At 43.5% G+C, this 18,178-nt stretch overlaps 1 protein-coding gene and 1 non-coding gene across 4 annotated transcripts, besides 2 other annotated features; one reads left to right on the forward strand and one right to left on the reverse strand.

Moving 5' to 3' along the window:
- Positions 3,555-4,520: an enhancer, noted in NCBI's record as "NANOG-H3K27ac-H3K4me1 hESC enhancer chr5:68462657-68463622 (GRCh37/hg19 assembly coordinates)". NCBI's record gives its function as "activates a minimal SCP1, AML or CMV promoter by ChIP-STARR-seq in primed H9 embryonic stem cells {active_cell/tissue: H9 hESC(primed)}" and the evidence as "EXISTENCE:reporter gene assay evidence [ECO:0000049][PMID:30033119]".
- CCNB1 (cyclin B1) lies at positions 3,875-14,970 on the forward strand. 3 transcript variants are annotated; one of them, NM_031966.4, is made up of 9 exons: positions 3,875-4,008; positions 4,633-4,803; positions 4,898-5,068; positions 7,995-8,177; positions 10,976-11,134; positions 11,602-11,838; positions 12,122-12,262; positions 13,964-14,074; positions 14,249-14,970. In NM_031966.4, the coding sequence occupies exons 1-9, from the start codon at positions 3,988-3,990 to the stop codon at positions 14,354-14,356; spliced, it is 1,302 nt and encodes a 433-aa protein (NP_114172.1). In that variant the 5' UTR covers positions 3,875-3,987; the 3' UTR covers positions 14,357-14,970. The 3 variants fall into 3 exon arrangements, with proteins under 3 accessions (NP_114172.1, NP_001341773.1, NP_001341774.1); NM_001354844.2 differs by lacking the exon at positions 13,964-14,074; NM_001354845.2 differs by lacking the exon at positions 10,976-11,134.
- Positions 3,901-4,130: an enhancer, noted in NCBI's record as "active region_22639". NCBI's record gives its function as "activates an Ori minimal core promoter by ATAC-STARR-seq in GM12878 lymphoblastoid cells {active_cell/tissue: GM12878}" and the evidence as "EXISTENCE:reporter gene assay evidence [ECO:0000049][PMID:35858748]".
- LOC124901203 (small nucleolar RNA U13) lies at positions 12,549-12,652 on the reverse strand. The gene has a single exon (XR_007059167.1). It is a non-coding gene; the product is annotated as a small nucleolar RNA U13 (small nucleolar RNA).
- Positions 14,971-18,178: the final 3,208 nt, after the last annotated feature.

Raw genomic sequence — 18,178 nt, forward strand, 5'->3', positions numbered from 1 at the left:
AATAACTAAAGGAGTGGAGTTGGAACGTTTCCAACACAAATAAATGATAAATGTTTGAGGAGATAAATATCCCAATTACTCTGATTTGATCATTACACATTGCATGCTTGTATCAAAATATAACATGTACCCCATAAATATGTACAACTATTATGTATGCATAAAAATTAAAAATAAACATGACAAAATGTACTATTAAGAATATTAGTCCAAAAAACAAATAAAAACAACAAAAGAAGAAAAAAAGAAATAATTAAAAAAAATAAAAAGAAGAATATTAGTCTGAGGCCAGGTGCGGTGGCTCTGGTGAACCCAGAGATTAAGGCTGCAGTAAGCCATGTTTGCGCCCCTGCACCCTAGCTGGGTAATAGAGACACTGTCTCAAAACAAAAATAAAACTGGGCAAAGGCTGGGCAAAGTGGCTCATGCCTATAATATTCCCAGTGCGGCCGGGCGTGGTGGCTCATGCCTGTAATCCCAGCACTTTGGGAGGCCAAGGCGGGCAAATCACAAGGTCAGGAGTTTGAGACCAGCCTGGCCAATATTATGAAACCCGGTCTCTACTAAAAATACAAAAATTAGCTGGTGTGGTGGTGGGCGCCTGTAGTGCCAGCTACTCGGGAGGCTGAGGCAGGAGAATCACTTGAACTCGGGAGGCAGAGGTTGCAGTGAGCCGAGATCGAGCCACTGCACTCTAGCCTGGGCGACAGAGCAAGACTCCATCTCAAAAAAAAAAAAAAAAAAAAAAAAAATATATATATATATATATATATATATATATTCCCAGTGCTTTGTGAGGCCAAGAGTTTAAGATGAGCCTTGGAAACATAGTGAGATCCCATCTCTACAAAAAATAAAAAATAAAAAAATTAGCTGGGCACAGTGGCTCACACCTACAGTCCTAGCTACTTGGGAAGCTGAGGCAGAATTGCCCGAGCTCAGGAGTTTGAGGTTACAGTGAGCTATGATCACACCAGTGCACTCCAGCCTGGGTAACATAGTAAGACCCTATCTCAAAAAACAAAACAAAACAAAAACTAGGCAAAATACCTGAACAGATACCTCAACAGAGAAGTTATACAGATTATAATCACAGAAAAAGATACTCAATATCATATGTCATTAGAGAACTGCAAATCAAAAAACAATGAGTTACCACTACACACCTAATAGGATGGCTACAATTTTTTTAAAAACTGACAACACCAAATGCTTGTGAGGATTGCTGATGGGAATGCAAAATGGTAGAGCAGCTTTGGAAGACAGTTTGGCGGTTTCTTACAAAAGTAAACATACTATATGATCCAACAGTCTTGCTCCTTGGTATTCACCCAAATGAGTTTAAAACTTATGTCCACTCAGCCGGGCACAGTGGCTCACGCCTGTAATCCCAGCACTTTGGGAGGCCGAGGAGGGTGGATCACGAGGTCAGGAGATCGAGACCATCCTGGCTAACATGGTGAAACCTCGTCTGTACTAAAAATACAAAAAATTAGCCAGGCCTGGTGGCGGGCGCCTATAGTCCCAGCTACTTGGGAGGCTGAGGCAGGAGAATGGCGTGAACCCGGGAGGCGGAGCTTGCAGTGAGCCTAGATGGCGCCACCGCACTCCAGCCTGGGCAACAAAGCAAGACTCCGTCTCAAAAAACAAACAAACAAACGAAAAACAAAAACAACTTACGTCCACTCAAAAATCTGCACACAGATGTTAGTAGCAGTTATATTCATACCAAAACTTGGACGCAATCAAGATGTCACTTAGTAGGTGACTGAATAAATAAACTAGTACATCCAGACAATGCAATATTATTCAGGGCTAAAATAAAATGAGATCCCAACCCATGAAAAAAACATGGAAGAACCTTAAATGCATATTTGAGTAAAAGAAACCATTCTGACCGCCAGGTGCAGTGGCTCACGCCTTCAATACCAGCACTTTGGGAGGTTGAGGCGGGTGGACATTATACGTCATTATATATTTGTCAAAACCCGTAGAAGACACAACACCTAGAGTGAACCTTAATGTAAACTATGGACTTTGGGTAATACTGTGGTGTCAATGTAGGTTAACAGATTATAATTAAAGTACAACTTTAATGTGGGGTGTCAATAGTGGGGAAGGCAGGTGAAATGCTCTATACTTTCTGCTAAGTTTTGCTGCGAACCTAAAACTGCTCTAAAAAATAAAGCATATAAAAGGAAAAATTTGGCCGGGCGTGGTGGCTCACGCCTGTAATCGCAGCACTTTGGGAGGCCGAGGCGGGCGGATCACCAAGTCAGGAGATCGAGACCATCCTGGCTAACATGGTGAAACCCCGTCTCTACCAAAAATACAAAAAATTAGCCGGCCGTTGTGGCGGGCGCCTGCCGTCCCAGCTACTCGGGAGGCTGAGGCAGGAGAATGGAGTGAACCCTGGAGGTGGAGGTTGCAGTGAGTCGAGATCGCACCACTGCACTCCAGCCTGGGCGACAGATCGAGACTCCGTCTCAAAAAAAAGTAAAAAAAAAAATTTTTAAACTGGAACACAGAGGATAAGTAATCCTGCTTCGCCCCTTGCCTCTCGCCCCTGCATGGGGCGAGGAAGGATTGATCAAACCCAGAAAGACTGAGTGAGAATGGATGTTGAACACAGAACTGAAGGATGAATGGGAGTTACCTGAATAGAACCCAGGGGCTTGAATGCAAGAAGAGGCGGGCATTCCAGGCAGAGGAGAGCAAGGGTAAGGGCCCCACGGGAGGCATTCGAGTAGGAGGGTGAACTATGATGACAGAAGACTCAATAACGATCCAAAGAAACCAAATGATTGGGCGCCTTCTTTCGGATCCGTGACTTCCAGCGCCAGGAGTCTCTATTGGCTCTTATACCGTTGCTCTATGGGATAGCAATGTTTTTGTCCTTCAGCCTCCCCTCCAATTGCTGAGCTGCTGGTGTGTTTTGAGGAGTAGAAGGCAAAAAGAACCCTCTTGTTTTTCTTTGGATCTAGAGAGAATCTGAGCAAATGACAAAGCAAATGGGGTAAAATGTCTTTTTGTTTAGTTTTTCCTGATTTTCCCATGAGAGGCAAATACATGTTAAGGATAGTTGAATCTGAGTAAAGGGCATAGAAATATTCCTTACAAGATTTTTGTTGGCAACTGGTCTAAGTATGAAATTATTTCCAAATAGAAAGCTAAAACAAACAAAACAATTGGCCTTGGGAAACTGGACAATCTTGAAGTAATCAAGTAATATTGTTAAGGGACAATCAGTGTTGTGAAAACAACACGGATACACCCCCTCCCTCCCCCTCAAAAAAAAAAACCCTAAATTCAGTTCCCCCGTTGCTAATGTGTGACCCTGGCAAAGTCATCTAAGTCGCTGAGCTTCAGTTCCTCCAACCCAGAGAGTTGTTGCAACGATCAAATGAAAGAATGTCTATTAAAGCCTTTCATGAACTATATTATTGCTGCTACCGTAGAAATGGAAAGTGTGCAACACTAGATCCAAAACTACTTTTGACACTTCTGAGACTGTGGCCGCGCCTCTGTCACCTTCCAAAGGCCACTAGGCCTTTCCTGAGCTGGCATTGGCAACGCACACTCTTGCCCGGCTAACCTTTCCAGGTGGGCGGCGCACTGGCTTCACTGCTCTCCAGGTGGCCGCTGCAGCTGCCCGAGAGCGCAGGCGCAGAGGCAGACCACGTGAGAGCCTGGCCAGGCCTTCCGGCCTAGCCTCACTGTGGCCCCGCCCCTCTCGAACGCCTTCGCGCGATCGCCCTGGAAACGCATTCTCTGCGACCGGCAGCCGCCAATGGGAAGGGAGTGAGTGCCACGAACAGGCCAATAAGGAGGGAGCAGTGCGGGGTTTAAATCTGAGGCTAGGCTGGCTCTTCTCGGCGTGCTGCGGCGGAACGGCTGTTGGTTTCTGCTGGGTGTAGGTCCTTGGCTGGTCGGGCCTCCGGTGTTCTGCTTCTCCCCGCTGAGCTGCTGCCTGGTGAAGAGGAAGCCATGGCGCTCCGAGTCACCAGGGTGAGCCGCTTCGGACTGCGAACTAACGCGGCCTTCTTAGCTGCTGCCTGCTCTCCCTGCCTCGCCTGCGGGAGCCTCCCGAGCGGGAGAGGGCCGCAGGAGCGATTTGGGGAGGAAGGTGGGAGGGGACTCACCAAGAGAGCGCCGAGGTGGGCCCAGGCCTGGTGAGAGAGTGTGGGGGACGATGGATGGAGGGAGGAAGGTGAGAAAGAGAACTGGACGGATATTGGATAAATGTTTTGGGGAGGTGGAGAGTCGACTGGGAACCTTTTGAAAAAGTGATAGAGGGTCCCTGAGTGGGCCCGCCAGCAACTCTGTAACCCCCTTCCCAGAGAGAAGGTGTCTGCAATTGGAGGCTTTTTCGGTTTCCTTTCAAATGTAAATTCTCGGTATTTTAGGGCTGGCCAGGACTAATCAGGGAATCCCTCAATTGGTAAATGTAGAGGTCGGCGGAAACTGACTTGTCACGGCCGCAGAGTAGACTCTGGGACCCATGTTTTCCCTCGGAACCCATTTTTAGTCGGCTTTCTTTCTGGGAACTTCTCCTTGTGCCCCACCTTAATTAACCCTTGACTTACTCGAGCCTTCGTGGATCAGCTCTTAAAGTGGTCTTGCTTCTTTCAGAACTCGAAAATTAATGCTGAAAATAAGGCGAAGATCAACATGGCAGGCGCAAAGCGCGTTCCTACGGCCCCTGCTGCAACCTCCAAGCCCGGACTGAGGCCAAGAACAGCTCTTGGGGACATTGGTAACAAAGTCAGTGAACAACTGCAGGCCAAAATGCCTATGAAGAAGGTAACTCTCTTCCTGACCTAACTTCTGTAAGAGCCCGCCTTCCAACTGTGGCCTTTGATGCAGAAACATTTCATTCTCTCTGTTTCATCTACAGGAAGCAAAACCTTCAGCTACTGGAAAAGTCATTGATAAAAAACTACCAAAACCTCTTGAAAAGGTACCTATGCTGGTGCCAGTGCCAGTGTCTGAGCCAGTGCCAGAGCCAGAACCTGAGCCAGAACCTGAGCCTGTTAAAGAAGAAAAACTTTCGCCTGAGCCTATTTTGGTAAACTTATTCTTACCATTGTAGAGTCTGTTGATTATTTCTTGTCCCTTATTTCACTGATACATGCAAGAGCATTCAAATGAATAGTAATATTAATACCATTTATTGAGTGCTTAGCATGAGGCAAGCTCTGCCTAACATTTTACATGCATTAACTCACATAATCTTTACACGTACTCTCTGAGGTATTGTCACCTCTACTATTTAAATCATGGCTTTAGAGAGGTTATGTCAGGGTCACACAGGTAAGTGGCCCATATGGGATTCAAGCTCAGGCTGTCTGGCTTCAGAATCTATGCTTTTAATTGTCAACTGTCTTATATTCCTTCGTTAATGATATTAAGTAGTAGCTGTCTGAGCCAAAGGCTTTGTTATCCAACTACAAGCCATCTCTGCAGAATTTATTGGCGTAAACATAGAATGTTCTCTTGAATTTTTTTACTGCTGCATATGGCTACTAAATAATAAGCCTGTAACATTGGAATATGCAAAGGAGTAAAACAGGAAGAAGGCAACTTTTCAGGGAGTGGTTAAGAAGATGAATTAACACTTAGCCTCAAAAATAATAACTTTTTATTAAATATAAGGTATGTAAATGTATTCTATGATAGACCTACCTGTGAAGGAAAGGTAGGTCATGTAGAGGAGGCTGCTTTGATGAAATTGCAATGAACTGTATTCTGAAGCTCTGTTTTTTTAAACTTAGTTAAAACCAGTTGGGAAAATTATCTGAAAAAAACTTGTTGAGACAGAGTCTGGCTCTGTTGCCCAGGCTGGAGTGCAGTGGCGTGATCTTGGCTCACTGCAACCTCTGCCTCCCAGGTTCAAGCAATTTTCCTGCCTCAGCCTCCCTAGTAGCTGGGATTACAGACGCACGCCACCACGCCCAGCTAATTTTCATATTTTTAGTATAGATGGGGTTTCACCATGTTAGTGTACTCCTGACCTCATGATCCGCCCGCCTCGGCCTCCGAAAGTGCTGGGATTACAGGCGTTAGCCACGGCGCCCAGCCAGTTCAGCTTCTTATATCTAAGGATAAGAGATTGAAAGCTATTGCTTTAGTGTTGAATTTCTGGGCATAGCACATGAAATATGTAGCCAGCACAGTCTTTGGGCATATCAAACTACGTGAGGCTTTCTTGGAAGGCCCATACTGATTCTTACCTTTGCTTTCCCACTTAGTAAGAATGCCTTCCCCACCCTGTCTTTCATTTAGCTAATAACCTTTTCATCCTTGAAAACAGCTCAAGCATCAACTCCTGAAGCTTTCCCAAACTTCCCCCATCTCCACCCCCTGTTCCTAGAATCAGTCTTTTTTTTCCCTTTGAGACAGAGTCTCACTCTGTTGCCCAGACTGGAGTGCAGTGGTGCCATCTTGGCTCACCACAACCTCTGCCTCCCGAGTTCAGTGATTCTCCTGCTTCAGCCTCCCAAGTAGCTGGGGCTACAGGCACATGCCACCATGCTTGGCTAATTTTTGTATTTTTAGTAGAGACGGGGTTTCACTATGTTGGCCAGGCTGGTCTCGAACTCTTGATCTCGTGATCCACCCGCCTCAGCCTCCCAAAGTGCTGGGATTACAGGTGTGAGCCACCATGCCCAGCCTTAGTCTTATTTTTGTTTATTTTTTTTTTCCCAAGACAGAGTCTTGCTCTGTCACCCAGGCTGGAGCACAATGGCACGATCTTGGCTCACTGCAACCTCTACCTCCTGGGTTCAAGCAATTCTCTTGCCTCAGCCTCCTGAGTAGCTGGGATTACAGGTGCCAGCCACCACACCCAGCTAATTTTTTTATTATTTTTTTATTTTTTTATTTTTAGTAGAGATGGAGTTTCACGATGTTGGCCAGGCTGGTCTCGAACTCCTGACCTCGTGATCTGCCTGCCTCGGCCTTCCAAAGTGCTGGGATTACAAGCGTGAGCCACCATGCCCGACCTTATTTCTTTACTTTGTCTACTAAATTCAGAGTCCTTTGAGGATGCCATGAAGTCAATGCCTTGTAGAGTTTGACTTCAAGAAGGTGCTCAATAAATGTTTGAACAATGGGATAAAGGGAGCTTGAAGGAAATGGTTAATGGCGATGAAGTTAGTTAATCCTTAGTAGTCAGGATAGAATTTGTGTTGAGTAGTGAGAAGCAGTTTATATTATGAAATAAAGACTAAAGACTGAATTGTCATTTATTTGGACTAACTTCACATGTTGCTGATAAAAATTAATTACTTCTCAGTTTCCTTTGCAGCAAAGTCTAGAATGTGAATTTATTTGCTTCCAACTTTAAACTGACTCACTCTAAGTTGGCATTTCACTGTTTTTTTTTTTGCCCAGGCTGGAGTAGAATGGCGCAATCATAGCTCACTGTATCCTCAAACTCCTGGGCTCAAGTGATCCTCCTGCCTGGGCCTCCTGAGTAGTTAGGACTGTAGGCAGCTGCCTTCATGCCCAGCTAATTTTTTGTAGAGATGAGTTATTGCTATATTGCCCAGGCTAGTCTGGAACTCATGGTCTCAAAGGATCCTCCCACCTCAGCCACCCAAAGTACTGGGATTACTGGCTTGAGCTGTTATGCCCAACCTCATTCTTTTTAATTGAGGAATTAAATGATCACTTTTTTCTTTTTTAACAGAGACAGGGTTTTGCTATGTTGCCCAGGCTGGTCTTGAACTCCTAGCCTCAACCTCAGCCTCTCAAAGTGCTGAGATTAAAGGTGTGAGCCACCGCGCCCAACCCAAATGATCACTTTTGATGTTAATCACTTCCTAAAAAGAAATGGAATAAATCTGAAAAGATACTTTTCCTTTAAGGAAATGAATTGTATGCCGATTCAGCAGAATACTAGCTTGAGTTGGTACCAATAACCTGAACTTCATGCCCAAACTATAGTGCTTACTTCTATTTGCTATTTCAAGATATCTCTTTGTTTCAAGGTTGATACTGCCTCTCCAAGCCCAATGGAAACATCTGGATGTGCCCCTGCAGAAGAAGACCTGTGTCAGGCTTTCTCTGATGTAATTCTTGCAGTAAATGATGTGGATGCAGAAGATGGAGCTGATCCAAACCTTTGTAGTGAATATGTGAAAGATATTTATGCTTATCTGAGACAACTTGAGGTAAGTATTATCATTCGTTTTTTTTCTAAACTGCATCTAACTTTATGAAAGTATTTTCCATCAATAGTTTATAATAATACAAGCAGGACGTGGGCAGCATTTCTTAAGAGATCGCACTTTCAAATTCTCCTTCATGGAATACCTATAATAAAAAGTCACTAAATAAACCAATGGAGTCTATTTGTCACTTTGTGCAGGAAAGTTCGAAGTTAGGGTGGATACTACTATCGCTTTCTAAAGGAAAATCCACAGATTGAATTTGATATGTATATATGCGATCTCCACCACGTTTGGAATGGTTAAGTCCCAAACTCTGCATTTTAGGTGATAACGGGTCAGGAAGTGGATGAGGATGTAGAATATACTCAAAGACTACAGCCACCCCTAACACAAGGCATTTTGTGTTAGTGTGGCTGATGTGCATCCAGTTGTTGGTGAAATTATTTGTGCCCAAAAGGAGTACACTCAAAAGCTACTTTTTTGGTTCACTTCAATTTGATCCCACTTTTGAAACTTTCTATTAATGGCATTTGCCCTTTCCCTACAAATACAAGCACTCTTTATGGCAGCATAAACATAGTAACATAAATTATACTGTTACCACATTTACGTAGTTTTTTTGTTGTTGTTGTTTTGTTTTTTTGAGATGGAGTCTCACACTGTCGCCCAGGCTAGAGGGCAGTGGTGCGGTCTCAGCTCACTGCAGTCTCTGTCTCCTGGGTTCAAGCAATTCTCCTGCCTCGGCCTCCCAAGTAGTTGGGGTTGCAGGCACACACCACCATGCCTGGCTAATTTTTTGTATTTTTATTTGGTTTTGGTTTTTTTGAGACAGGGTCTTGCTCTGTTGCCCAGGCTGGAGTGCAGTGGTGCAATCTCGGCTCAGTCCAGCCTCCGCCTCGGGTCAAGTGATTCTCATGCCTCAGCATCCCGAGCAGCTGGGATTACAGGTGCCCACCACAACACCCAGCTAATTTTTGTACTTTTAGTAGAGATGAGGTATCACCATATTGGCCAGGCTGGTCTCGAACTCCTGACCTTAGATGATCTACCCATCCCGGCCTCCCAAAGTGCTGGGATTACAGGCCTGAGCAACCGCACCCAGCCCCCAGTTGTTTCTAATGTGTTGTCTTATGTCATCACTGACATGTTCATCTCTTGCCTGCTCCTTTTTGGCCTCTCCTTTTTCTATAGGATTCTTCTGCAAGACTTCTTTGCCAGGAGCAGCCTTCTGCTTTTAGTTTCTTCTTCCATCTTTCTAGTGCTTTTTAAAGTTGTGTTCTAACTTTGGAGGATTCAATTTAGTAAATGTGCTGTTTCTTTTTTTTTTTTTTTTTTTTTTGGGACAGAGTCTCGCTGTGTCACCTAGGCTGGTGTGCAGTGGCACAATCTCGGCTCACTGCAAGCTCTGTCTCCCGGGTTCACGCCATTCTCCTGCCTCAGCCTCCTGAGTAGCTGGGACTACAGGCATCCGCCACCACGCCTGGCTAATTTTTTATATTTTTAGTAGAGACGGGGTTTCACCGTGTTAGCCAGGATGGTCTCAATCTCCTGACCTCATGATCCACCCGCCTTGGCCTCCCAAAGTGCTGGGATTATAGGTGTGAGCCACCGCGCCCAGCCTGTAAATGTGCTGTTTCTTGATGCTTCGTTCTTGTTCTGTGCAAGGCCATTTATGCAAAGCAACCCCTCAAGTGGCAGAGGAGCTGAGAAACCAAGGAATTAGGCAGATAAATGGAGTTTGCTGGTATTGGGTGACTGATGAGGGGGAATTTACAGACATAAGTATGGTCTTTGATGGCTGTAAGATGTAGATCTCTGCACTGTAACCCCTCGTACCCACGGCTTGGGTATGTATACATTTTCTTGGGCAAAGTATACATGCTCTAGAATCAATGTGTGGGTGGCTGACAGAATGCTGCAGACATCACAGCCTATAATGTATACAATAATATCAAGGGCTGTTTTGGAGGAAAGGCCAAACTTAAAGTGAATAGGCAGAAGTCACATTGAATTAGTATTTAAAATAAAGTCACTGTTGTCCCCACAGTTCTTAGCTATGTTGCTGTTGGGATTTAACCCAGGAGCAGGCAGGAGTGTTGTAGTACATGGGTTCCAGCTGCCCTGGGAGTTACTGATATTTTCTCTACATAAAGCTCAGGTTCTAAGTTTAGAGGCTTAAGTGAAAAGATCTGAGATGATAATGTAGTATCTTTATTTGGAAGGGAGTGGACCAGCAGCAGTTGTGGTGAAGAATATCGTAAGACCTGACAATATAAAAAAGCTGTCATACTGTCCTATCTAATGTTTGCCTTTTTTTTCTTTTTTTTTTGGGGTGGGGAGACAGTCTCACTCTGTCACCCAGGCTGGAGTGCAGTGGTGCAATCTCGGCTCCCTGCAACCTCCACCTGCCAGGTTCAAGCAATTCTCCTGCCTCAGCCTCCCAAGTAGCTGGAACTACAGGTGTGCGCAACCATGCCCAGCTAATTTTTGTATTTTTAGTAAAGACAGGTTTTGCCATGTTGGCCAGGCTGGTCTCGAACTCCTGGCTGCAAGCAATCTGCCAACTTCAGCCTCCCAAAGTGCTGGGATTACAGGCGTGAGCCACCACGCCAGCCTTCATGTTTGCTTTATTTCTTGGTGATGGTGTTGTTTGTGGTTGACCATATGAATAATTGAATTAAGAACTGATATAGATTATAAATGCCCCAGTGCTACTGTAGGAACTAACTGATCTTTCTGGACATAAATGTGTCACATGGAGTCATGTTTCTAAGAATAATCAGCATTTTCTTTTGCAGGAAGAGCAAGCAGTCAGACCAAAATACCTACTGGGTCGGGAAGTCACTGGAAACATGAGAGCCATCCTAATTGACTGGCTAGTACAGGTTCAAATGAAATTCAGGTTGTTGCAGGAGACCATGTACATGACTGTCTCCATTATTGATCGGTTCATGCAGGTGAGCATTTCAGTAAGAGTTTTCCCTTCCAGGATTCTAGCCGAGTCATAAGAAACTGATGTTTTCAGGCCAGTCTGGGCGCAGTGGCTCATGCCTGTAATCCCAGCGGGCGGGTGGATCACAAGGTTAGGAGATCGAGACCATCCTGGCCAACGCAGTAAAACCCTGTCTCTACTAAAAATACAAAAAATTAGCCGGGCATGGTGGCGGGCGCCTGTAGTCCCAGCTACTGGAGGCGGAGGTTGCAGTGAGCTGAGATCACGCCATTGCACTCCAGCCTGGGTGACAGAGCGAGACTCAAAAAAAAAAGAAAGAAATAAACTGACTTTTTCAACTAAAATCTTTCTTGGGGGATATGGTGTCATTAAGATTTTGCTATGGGAGAATGTCTTTCTACCTCTCCTTCATCATAGCTCTGTGTCTCCTTTTCAAACATTTTATTCACCCTATTGAAATTCCCATTGCAGAATAATTGTGTGCCCAAGAAGATGCTGCAGCTGGTTGGTGTCACTGCCATGTTTATTGCAAGCAAATATGAAGAAATGTACCCTCCAGAAATTGGTGACTTTGCTTTTGTGACTGACAACACTTATACTAAGCACCAAATCAGACAGATGGAAATGAAGATTCTAAGAGCTTTAAACTTTGGTCTGGGTCGGCCTCTACCTTTGCACTTCCTTCGGAGAGCATCTAAGATTGGAGAGGTACAGGTTTCTTGAGAAACCTCTCCGTATGGGTACATTAGGGGGAACACTGCTGCTGACCAAGCACGTTGAATTCAACTGACCTGTATTATACCTAACTACATGGGGAAGGGATAAAGTTGTTCTTTATTTCTAGTCAGGCTGCATGTTAATATTAGGACTTTCCATGGGCATTTGAGAGTTTGTAGACAAACATTTGTAGTTAAAGATACATATGGGCATGCAGGTTAGTGCCAAAGGAAAATTTTCTGAAAGAAACTCAGTAACATGGGTTTTGTTTCAGGTTGATGTCGAGCAACATACTTTGGCCAAATACCTGATGGAACTAACTATGTTGGACTATGACATGGTGCACTTTCCTCCTTCTCAAATTGCAGCAGGAGCTTTTTGCTTAGCACTGAAAATTCTGGATAATGGTGAATGGGTAAGCTGTGTCCCACAGAACTCCTAAGCTTTTAAATTTTAAAGAGTGACTAAATACAGAACTTTTGTTATTAAAAGGCAATTCAAGTGGTTCATAAATATGGGATCTACTGAAGGAATAGTTAAAAAAGATGTCTTAGAATGTTTCCACATCTTTTTGTTTTTGAGACAAGGTCTCGCTCTGTCACTCAGGCTGGAGTGCAGTGGTGCAGTCTTGGCCCACTGCAACATCAGCCTCCAGAGTAGCTGGGATTACAGGTGTCTGTCTAGTTTTTAAATTTTTTTCATGTCAGATGGGTAATATGCCCACATTGTAACAAGGTTTGAGGGTGGCACGTTTCACATGTTCACATGAACACCAAATCATCACACTTATGAACTACAAAAGAGTCGCCCACCAGCCTGGGCAACATAGCAAATCCTCATCTTTACAAAAAATATATAAAATATATATATATATATATATATATATATATATACAGGCACACGCCTGTAGTCCCAGCTACTCTGGAGGCTGAGCTTTGTATTTTTTGTAGACATGGGGTCTCTCTATATTACCCAGGCTGGTCTTGAAACTCTGGGCTCAAGCGATCCACCCACCTCCACTTACCAAAGTGTTGGAATTACAGGCGTGAGCCATTGCAACCAGTCGAGTGTTTCCATTTCTTTCCCTGATTTCAACTTTATTCCCTTTGAGAAAGGTAGAGCAACTTTTACTCCTTACAGATGGAGAAACTTGAAGGTCAAATGACATACTAGTAGTTCATTCATATTCATTGATTCAACAAATGCTTCTCCTATGTGACAGGCACTACCCTAGGTCTTTTTTTGTTTTTTCGAGACGGAGTCTCTCTCTGTCGCCCAGGCTGGAGAGCAGTGGCGTGATCTCGGCTCACTGCAACCTCCGCCTCCTGGGTTCATGCCATTCTCCTGCCTCAGCCTCCCGAGTAGCTGGGACTACAGGTGCCTGCCACCACGCCCGGCTAATTTTATATATATATATATATTTTTTTTTAGTAGAGATGGGGTTTCACCGTGTTAGCCAGGATGGTCTTGATCTCCTGACCTCGTGATCCGCCCACCTTGGCCTCCCAAAGTGCTGGGATTACAGGCGTGAGCCATTGTGCCCGGCCTACCCTAGGTCTTAAGAATAGAACTATGTAGCTGGGTGCAGTGGCTTACATCTGTAATCCCAGCACTTTGGGAGGCAGAGTTGGGCAGATCACGAGCTCAAAAGTTCAAGACCAGCCTGACCAACATGGTGAAACCCTATCTCTACTAAAAATACAAAAATTAGCCAGGTGTGGCAGTGCGCGCCTGTAATCCCAGCTACTCAGGAGGCTGAGGCAGGAGAATCACTTGAACCTGGGGGCGGAGGTTGCAGTGAGCCGAGATCATACCATGCACTCCAGCCTGGAGCGAGACTCCATCTCAAAAAAAAAAAAAATTACAAAGTTGGCCTCAAGGAAGTGGAGTCTAGTTTTAGGGTGGGCAAGTCAGCAATTACAAAAGTGCAATTAGGTTTGAGCAGAGGAAGCATGAGAGCACCTAGGAAAGGAGTCTTTAGCTTTGTCTTAAATTTCAGTTATATTAATTATACAGTACCCATCTCTTTTCCACTCCTGAATAACATCTAACATCTAGAAACTTTATGAAAATCATTATTGATTTGAGCATTTTTAACATTAACTTGTTGCCTTAGACACCAACTCTACAACATTACCTGTCATATACTGAAGAATCTCTTCTTCCAGTTATGCAGCACCTGGCTAAGAATGTAGTCATGGTAAATCAAGGACTTACAAAGCACATGGTGAGTCAATATAGTGGCATTGTAAGATGCTGAAAAGTGTAATAATTCAAACTTAATGCCTGCAAATGCCTGGTTTATTTTTAATGAGTTAATGTTTTAAATGAATACCTGTATCATTGCATCTTGTGATTTTTTTTCTTTTGCCTCTTTAATTGCTATCTTTTTGTCTTCCAGACTGTCAAGAACAAGTATGCCACATCGAAGCATGCTAAGATCAGCACTCTACCACAGCTGAATTCTGCACTAGTTCAAGATTTAGCCAAGGCTGTGGCAAAGGTGTAACTTGTAAACTTGAGTTGGAGTACTATATTTACAAATAAAATTGGCACCATGTGCCATCTGTACATATTACTGTTGCATTTACTTTTAATAAAGCTTGTGGCCCCTTTTACTTTTTTATAGCTTAACTAATTTGAATGTGGTTACTTCCTACTGTAGGGTAGCGGAAAAGTTGTCTTAAAAGGTATGGTGGGGATATTTTTAAAAACTCCTTTTGGTTTACCTGGGGATCCAATTGATGTATATGTTTATATACTGGGTTCTTGTTTTATATACCTGGCTTTTACTTTATTAATATGAGTTACTGAAGGTGATGGAGGTATTTGAAAATTTTACTTCCATAGGACATACTGCATGTAAGCCAAGTCATGGAGAATCTGCTGCATAGCTCTATTTTAAAGTAAAAGTCTACCACCGAATCCCTAGTCCCCCTGTTTTCTGTTTCTTCTTGTGATTGCTGCCATAATTCTAAGTTATTTACTTTTACCACTATTTAAGTTATCAACTTTAGCTAGTATCTTCAAACTTTCACTTTGAAAAATGAGAATTTTATATTCTAAGCCAGTTTTCATTTTGGTTTTGTGTTTTGGTTAATAAAACAATACTCAAATACAAAAGGTATCTTTTTTAAAAAGTTAGTTTACTGCTTCCTTAGGCTCTTTCTAAATCCCACCCACCTGAAGGACATCAATTATGGATTTATCCTTCATGCCTTGTATAAATACAGATGTGCATATGAATTTTTATGGGTTTTTTAAAAATGTGGTTCATTCTATATACATAACAATTACTTTCAACATACATAAGCCTACCTGTATTTGTGCATTATATTACATGGTACAGATAAATAGTCATGTGCCCCATGAACATTTTGGTCAAAGATAGATTACAGATACAATGGTGGTCCCATAAGATTATGATGCCATATTTTTACTGTACCTCTTCTTGTGCCTAGATACACAAATACTGACTTGTGTTATAATTGCCTGCAGTATTCAATAATATGGTGTATAGATTTGTAGCCTAGGAGCTATAACCTATACTATATAGCCTAGGAGTGCAGGAGGGTATGCCATCTAGATTTGTGTGAGTACACTGATGTTTGAACAATAAAATCACCTAATGATAGGTTTCTCAAACCATATCCCAGTCCTTAAGCAACACATGACTAATGGATTCAACCATTTCCCCTGTTCGTTCAGATTGCTTTTTCTTTTTGCCCCTACAATTTTGTTGATAATACTGTTTTTTGGGGCTTTTGTTTTTGTTTTTTTTTTTTTTTTTGAGACAAGAGTCTCACTCTGTCGTCAGGCTGGAGTGCAATGGCGCTATCTCAGCTCACTGCAACCTCTGCCTCCCAGGTTCAAGCGATTCTCCTGCCTCAGCCTCCTGAGTAGCTGAGATTACAGGCATGCGCCACCGCGCCCGGCTAATTTTGTATTTTTAGTAGAGACGCAGTTTCACCATGTTGGTCAGGCTGGTCTTGAACACCCGACCTCAGGTGATCCACCCGCCTCAGCTTCCCAAAGTGCTGGGATTAAAGGCGTGAGCCACCACACCTGGCCAATTTACTGTTTTATACCATGCTTTTTTGTGTGTATTCTAGGTTCCCTAAAGCAAACATGCATTTTAAATTTTGATAGAACCAGATGACATACAAAAGTGCCTGTTTTCTCTGCATTATTAAAACTGAAGGTAATCAGTCTTTTATTTCTATGACTCCAACTGGCAAAAAATATTTGCCATTTTAACTTTTTTTTTTTGAGACGGAGTCAAAAGGTGCCAGTTTTCTCTGCATTATTAAAACTGAAGGTAATCAGTCTTTTATTTCTATGACTCCAACTGGCAAAAGATATTTGCCACGTTAACTTTTTTTTTTTTTTTTTTGAGACGGAGGCTCACACTGTCACCCAGGCTGAAGTGCAGTGGCATGATCTCAGCTCACTTGCAACCTCCGCCTCCCAGGTTCAAGTGATTCTCCTGCCTCAGCCTCCCAAGGAGTTGGGATTACAGGCGCATACCCGGCTTATTTTTTGTATTTTTAGTAGAAACGGGATTTCACCGTGTTAGCCAGGATGGTCTCAATCTCCAGACTTCGTGATCGCCCACCTCGGCCTCCCAAAGTGCTGGGATTACAGGCGTGAGCCACCGCGCCCGGCCCTCAGTAGGCGATTTTTATATGTGGTATAAAGTAGAATTCTTACAGATGGATACCCGTTTATGCCAGTGCCATGACTGAAACCCTGCTTGTCCAACTTGAAATATCTTCAATGCCCATCTATTCTTCCTTGATCTTGTTTTTTCCTGTGATAATACAATAGTTTTTACCAGTTAATCAGTTAAGATGAGGCTTACCAAATATATGGGAGTACTACTGAACACTTTTCTATAAAAACTTTAAAATTGTGTACAGTTACCAAAAAGTTCCTTTGAGTTTTGTTGTTGTTGTTTTGTTTTTTGAGAGGGAGTCTCGTTCTGTTGCCCAGGCTGGAGTGCAGTGGTGCGATCTCAGCTCACTGCAACCTCTGCCTCCCTGGTTCAAGTGATTCTCCTGCCTCAGCCTCCGGAGTAGCTGGGACTACAGGCACGGGCCACCATGCCTGGCTAATTTTTTTGTATTTTTAGTAGAGACAGGGTTTCACCACGTTGGCAGTTTGGTCTCGAACTTTTGACCTCAGGTGATCCGCCCGCCTCAGCCTCCCAAAGTGCTGGGATTACAGGCGTGACCCACCGCGCCCGACCCTCCTTTGAGATTTTGACTATACATTATGTACTAGCTTGGGATAGACTGACATATTATCTTACCATCTAGAAACTATCAATCCTTGTTGCATGCCCTTCAATAACGTTGGAATTTAATTGTATAATTCTGCAACTTTCTTAAATTTATGGTTGGATTTATGCCTTTTGCCTTTTGTCGTTATTGTGAATGGGATATATTTCCCACTTCTGTTTCTTTAAATTTTTTTCTTCATCTCCCTAGTAGTGTATCCCACTCCTGTTTAGTTTTAAATAGAGACAATGTCTCTCTGTCGCCCAGGATGGAGTACAGTGGTGCAATCATAGTGCACTGCTGCCCTGAACTCCAGCTATCCTACCACCTCAGCTTTCTAGGTAGCTATCACTACAGGTGGGCCAACCACATTTGGCTAATATTTTATTTTTTCCTTTTCTGTGTAGAGATGGGGTCTCACTATGTTGTCCAAGCTGGTCTCAAACTCCTGGCCTCAAGTGACTCTCCCACTTCAGCCTCTTAAAGCACCGGGATTATAGACGTGAGCCAATGCGCCTGACGCCCACTTCTATTTTTAATATCTTATCCAGTTGACATCAGTTTTCCTTCTTTAATATTTTTGTTGTTGTTGTTGTTGAGACAGAGTCTAGCTCTGTTGCCCAAGCTGGAGTGCAGTGGCGCGATCTCGGCTCACTGCAAACTCTGCCCCGCCGGGTTCACACCATTCACGTGCCTCAGCCTCCCGAGTAGCTGGGACTAGGGGTGCCCGCCACCACGCCCAGCTAATTTTTTGTATTTTTAGTAGAGACAGGGTTTCACTGTGCCAGCCACGATGATCTCGATCTCCTGACCTCATGATCCACCCGGCAGTGGCCCCCCAAAATGCTGAGATTACAGGTGTGAGCCACTGTGCCCAGCCCTTCTTGAGTGTTTTTTATTGGAGAATTTTCTAGTCCTTAAATCCAAAAGTTTCACCTATTTTATAATATTAGAATCTCTGAAATAATCAGTGATAATAAATGGTTTCCTGTCACTGAATTGATGTCACACAGTAATAGAAACTACAAAGACCAATTAAATAGCAAAAAATA

This window comes from Homo sapiens, chromosome 5 (assembly GCF_000001405.40).
Source record: "Homo sapiens chromosome 5, GRCh38.p14 Primary Assembly".
Taxonomy (NCBI): domain Eukaryota; kingdom Metazoa; phylum Chordata; class Mammalia; order Primates; family Hominidae; genus Homo; species Homo sapiens.